The sequence below is a fragment of the Homo sapiens genome, chromosome 7, assembly GCF_000001405.40.
Source record: "Homo sapiens chromosome 7, GRCh38.p14 Primary Assembly".
NCBI lineage: Eukaryota > Metazoa > Chordata > Mammalia > Primates > Hominidae > Homo > Homo sapiens.
This window is the reverse complement of record NC_000007.14, coordinates 88,536,756-88,541,896: the sequence shown is the minus strand read 5'-3', so window position 1 is coordinate 88,541,896 and position 5,141 is coordinate 88,536,756. Positions and strand designations below refer to the sequence as shown.

Genomic DNA, 5,141 nt, shown 5'->3' with positions numbered 1-5,141 from the left:
GTATACAGTATCATCTCCATTGAGTTTGGAGACCCCAGTCCTCAGGAAAACTACAGAAGACAAACGATGTCATCAAAAGACACCTCAGGAAACTGTCCCAAGAAACTCATCTTCCTTGGGTTACTCTTCTTCCTATGGCTTTACTGCAGGTAAGAAACGCCCCTTCAAAGTTAGATCTAAGCCCTTTTGAGATGCTGTATGGATGGCCTTTTCTCACCAATGATTTCTTATTAGACCAAGAGACCTCTGAATTGGGCAAGCATGTAAACTCTCTGGCTCGTTTTCAACAGGAATTAACTCAAGTAGCAGAAGCCCAACCCCAAGAAGTAGGACCACCTTTATTTAACCCAGGATATTTGGTATTGGTAAAGTCTCTACCTTCTCTCTCTCCTTCTCTAAGCCCAAGCAGGGAGGGCCTTACACCATTCTCCTTTCAATGCCCTCAGCAGTAAAAGTTACAGGTATTGATTCCTGGATACATCATGCTCAAGTTAAAGCCTGGAAAACTGAGAGAGCAATCCCCGGCAGCCCAGCGGAATGTCTTGGATACCAATGTGAGGAAATAAGAGACCTGAAGCTGAAAATCAAAAGAGATAAGAAAATGAGCAAGGGCTACTCATCCTACTCAGTTCCAGTCATCCATTCAGTCATCCAGTCATCCAGTCTTTGTACAACTGGTTAGTTCCACTATTAAGCCTCCTCTTGCTCATGTGTTTTATATTAATGTTTGGACCTTGTCTACTCAATACTATAATTTGAATTGTTTCCTCTCACCTAGAAGCAATCAAACTCCAAATGGTGCTACAGACTTAACCACACATGACACGCCTTTCTTCCAAGGACACTTAGATCAACCCTAGAAGCCCTAGCTGCTGTTCCCCACACAACACCCCTTTTCAGCAGGAAGTAGCCAGAAAGAGTTGTCGCCCAACACCCTCTAACAGCAGTTAGGGTTACCACTCCTGAGAAGGGGAATGATATCGAAGCTGATATGGTTTGGCTGTATCCACACCCAAATCTCATCTTGAATTCCCATGTGTTGTGGGAGGCACCCAGTGGTAGGTAATTGAATCATGGGGGCAAGTCTTTCCCGTGCTGTTGTCATGATAATGAATATGTCTAACGAGATCTGATGGTTATAAAAAGGGAGCTTACCTGCACAAGCGCTCCTTTCTTTGCTTGCCGCCATCCACGTAAGATGTGACTTGCTCCTCCTTGCTTTCTGCCATGATTGTGAGGCATCCCCAGCCACATGAAACTGTAATTCTAATGAAACCTCTTTCTTTTGTGAATTGCCCAGTCTCTGGTAAGTCTTTATCAGCAGTGTGAAAACAGACTAACATAGGAGTTAAGAAGAAATCACTTAGGCAGATAGTAAGGGTATGGGAGTCCTCAGTAAGGCTTTTCTTTTTAATGAAAAGCAGCCTCAAAACATTTTCTAACAAAGAGCAGCCTGTAAAGTCCAGCTGCAGACATAGACAAGCAAGCTGGGGGCTTGCACGGGTGAATGCTGGCAGGAACTAGGGACTAGACGTGTTCGAGATGGTGGCTTCATATTCCCTTCTCTGCCAGTCACATGTACAGTAGGGAGCAGACAAGATGGAGCTGGCCAAGGGGAAAGTTCATTTGCATAATAAGATTAGGGTAGAGAGACCAGCCTTCCCCATGCACTATGTAAATGTCATACTTGATTAAGCCAATCTGTGAGCCCTGCATAAATCAGACACCACCTCCTCAAGCCAGACTATAAAATCCAGCACATCTGCCACCAGCTGGTCTTTTTCACTCAGAAGGCCCCTCTCTCGAGAGAGAGAGAGCTGTTTTTCTTTTGCTTTTCTTCTGCCTATTAAACCTCTGCTCCTAAGCTCCTCATGTGTGTTTGTGTCCAAAATTTTCCAGGCACGAGATGACAAACCCTGGGTATATACCCTAGACAATGTAGCCACTTCAATACTGAAGAGGAAATAGACCAAATAATTGCCCAAAACTATATAATTAGTAAATGGAAGCACCACTACTGCAGGAACATACCAGGAAAGCCAAGAGAATCAACAAACCTTTTGAAGGAGGTGGATTGCTGCTGCAGGCTCCATCAAACAGCCAAGGAACTGTGAGCCTGCCTGCTTTCTCCACAGGGAGGCTTATGGTCTAGGGCAAGTTTTCAGCTGGGGTTACTGGCTGCCTGGAAATAGACTCAGTGCTGTTGTGGGAGCACACTGGGAGTGAGACCAGCCTTTAGGACTGCAGGCTACATGGGAGGAGGGTGAGGCCTAAGCCTGCTGGCTTTCCCCCATTTCCTTGGAAACCTGCATTACTTAGCAGAGGCAGCCAAAATCCCCCTGGCAATATAACTCTATTGGACCGCGAACCACACCACCAACTCCCACAGTAGCTATAGCAAGCCCTGTCCAAGGAGAGGCTGAGCTCAGACACCACCAGGTGGTCTTTCTCTACCTGCCGTGGTAGCTGAAGACAAAGGTCATAATGTCTTGAGAGCTCTATGACCCTGCGCGCTGCCAGAGAAAACTGAATACTTAACCAGGTGTCCACAGGGGAAGGCTGAATTCTCCCTTAGGACCGCAGCTGATGCTCTCTTGAAAGCGTGACCTCCTGGCTGTAGGCCAGCTAATGGAAAACCGGCACACTTAACGAAAACACAAACAAGTACCCTCATAGAGTCCACCTCACTCTCACGCTACTTCCACCAGAGCAGGTGCTGGTATCCATGGCTGCAAGACCTGAAGATGGATCACATCATGGGACTCCTTGCAGACACCCTCAAGTACTAGCCCAGAGCCTGGTAGCTTCACTGGGTAGCTAGACCAAGAAGAGCAAAAACAATTACTACAGTTCAGCTCTCAGAAAGCCCCATTCCTAGAGGAAGGGGAGAACACCACATCAAAGGAGCACCCTGTGGGACAAAAGAATCTGAATAGCAGTCTTTGAATCCCAGATCTTCCCTCTGACATAGTCTACCCAAATGAGAAGGAACTAGACCAACAGTTCTAGTACTATGACAAAACAAGGTTGTTTAACACCCCCAAAAGATCATACCAGCTAACTAGCAATGGATCCAAACCAAGAAGATAGCTCTGAATTGCCAAAACAATTTAGGAGGTTGATTAATAAGCTATCAAGGAGGTACCAGAGAAAGGTGAAGTCGAACTTAAAGAAGTCAAAAACATGATACAGGTATGAAAGAAAAATTCTTCAGTGAAATAGATAGCATAAATTAAAAAAAACACAACTTCTGGAAATCAAGAATACACTTACAGAAGTACAAAATGCACTGGAAAATCTCAGCAACAGAATTGAACAAGCAGAAGAAAGAACCTCAGAACTCGAAGACAAGGCTTTCAAATTAACCCAATCTATCAAAGATGGAAAAAAGAATTTTTAAAAATGAAGAAAGCCTCAAAGAAGTCTGGGACTATGGTAAGCACCCAAACCTAAGAATAATTGGTGTTCCTGAGAAAGAAGATAAATCTCAAAGTTTGGAAGATATATTTGAGGGAATAATCAAGGAAAACTTCCCTGGCCTTACTGGAGATCTAGACAGCTAAATACTAGAAGCTTAAAGAACACCTGTGAAATCTGTCACAAAAACATAATTGACTAGGCACATAATCATCAAGTTATCTAAAGTCAAGACAAAGAAAATAATCTTAAGAGCTGTGAGGCAAAAACATCAGGTAACCTATAAAGGAAAACCTATCTGAGTAACAGTAAATTTCTCAGCAGAAACCCTACAAGCTAGAAGGGATTGGGGTCCTATTTTTAGCCTCCTTAAACAAAACAATGATCAGCCAAGAATTATGTATCCAGCAAAACTAAGCTTCACAAATAAAGGAAAGATACAGTCTTTTCCAGACAAAGAAATGCTGAGAGAATTTGCCACTACCAAGCCAGCATTACAAGAACTGTTAAAAGCAGCTCTAAATCTTTAAACACATCCATGAAATACACCAAAATAGAACCTCCTTAAAGCATAAAACTCACAGGATCTATATAACAATAACAACAACAACAATAACCAAAAAACAAAACAAAACAAGGTATTCAGGCAACAAATAGCACAATGAATAGAATAGTACTTGACATATCAATACTAACATTGAATGTAAATGGCCTAAATGCTCCACTTGAAGGATACAGGATTGCAGAATGGATAAAAACTCACCAAATTTCTGCTGTCTTTGGGATACTCACGTAACACCTAAGGACTCACATAAACTTAAGGTAAAGAGTTAGAAAAAGATATTCCATGCAAATGGACACCAAAAGTGATCAGCAGTAGTTATTCTCATATCAGAGAAAATCAAACTTTAAAGCAACAGCTGTTTAAAAAGATGTAGAGCAACAAGGAATATTATATAATGTTAAAAGAACTAGTCCAACAGGAAAATATCATAATTCTAAATATATATGCAGCTAACACTGAGGCTCCCAAATTTATAACACAATCACTACTAGATCTAAGAAATGAGAGCCGCAGCAACATAATAATAGTGATGGACTTTAATACTCCACTGACAGCACTAGACCAGTCATCAAGACAGAAAGTCAACAAAGAAACAATGGACTTAAACTATATGCTACAACAAATGGATTTAACAAATACTTACAGAACATTCTACCCAACAACTACAGAATATACATTCTATTCATCAGCACATGGAATATTCTCCAAGATAGACCGTATAATAGGCCCCAATCAAGTCTCAGTAAATTTAAGAAAATCAAATTATATCAAGTACTCTCTCTGATCACAGAGGAATAAAATTGGAAATCAACTCCAAAAGCAACTCTCAAAACCATGCAAATACATAGAAATAAAATAACCTGCTTCTGAAACATCATTGGGTCAACAATGAAATCAAGATGGAAATAAAAAAATTCTTTGAACTGAATAATAGTGTCACAACCTATCAAAACCTCTGGGATACAGCAAAAGTAGTAGTACTAAGAGGAAAGTTCCTAGTGTTAAATGCCTACATCAAAAAGTCTGAAAGAACACAAATAGACAATCTAAGGTCATGCCTCATGAAACCAGAGAAACAACAATCCAAACTCAAACCCAGCAGAAAAAAATAAATAATGAAGATCATAGCAGAACTAAATGAAATTGAAACAAAAAAATA

General features: G+C 41.2%; 1 annotated feature.

Moving 5' to 3' along the window:
- Nucleotides 521-1,720: an enhancer, noted in NCBI's record as "CDK7 strongly-dependent group 2 enhancer chr7:88169492-88170691 (GRCh37/hg19 assembly coordinates)". NCBI's record gives its function as "activates an origin of replication core promoter dependent on BRD2, BRD4, P300/CBP, MED14 and CDK7 cofactors, with strong dependence on CDK7, by STARR-seq in HCT116 cells {active_cell/tissue: HCT116}" and the evidence as "EXISTENCE:reporter gene assay evidence [ECO:0000049][PMID:35650434]".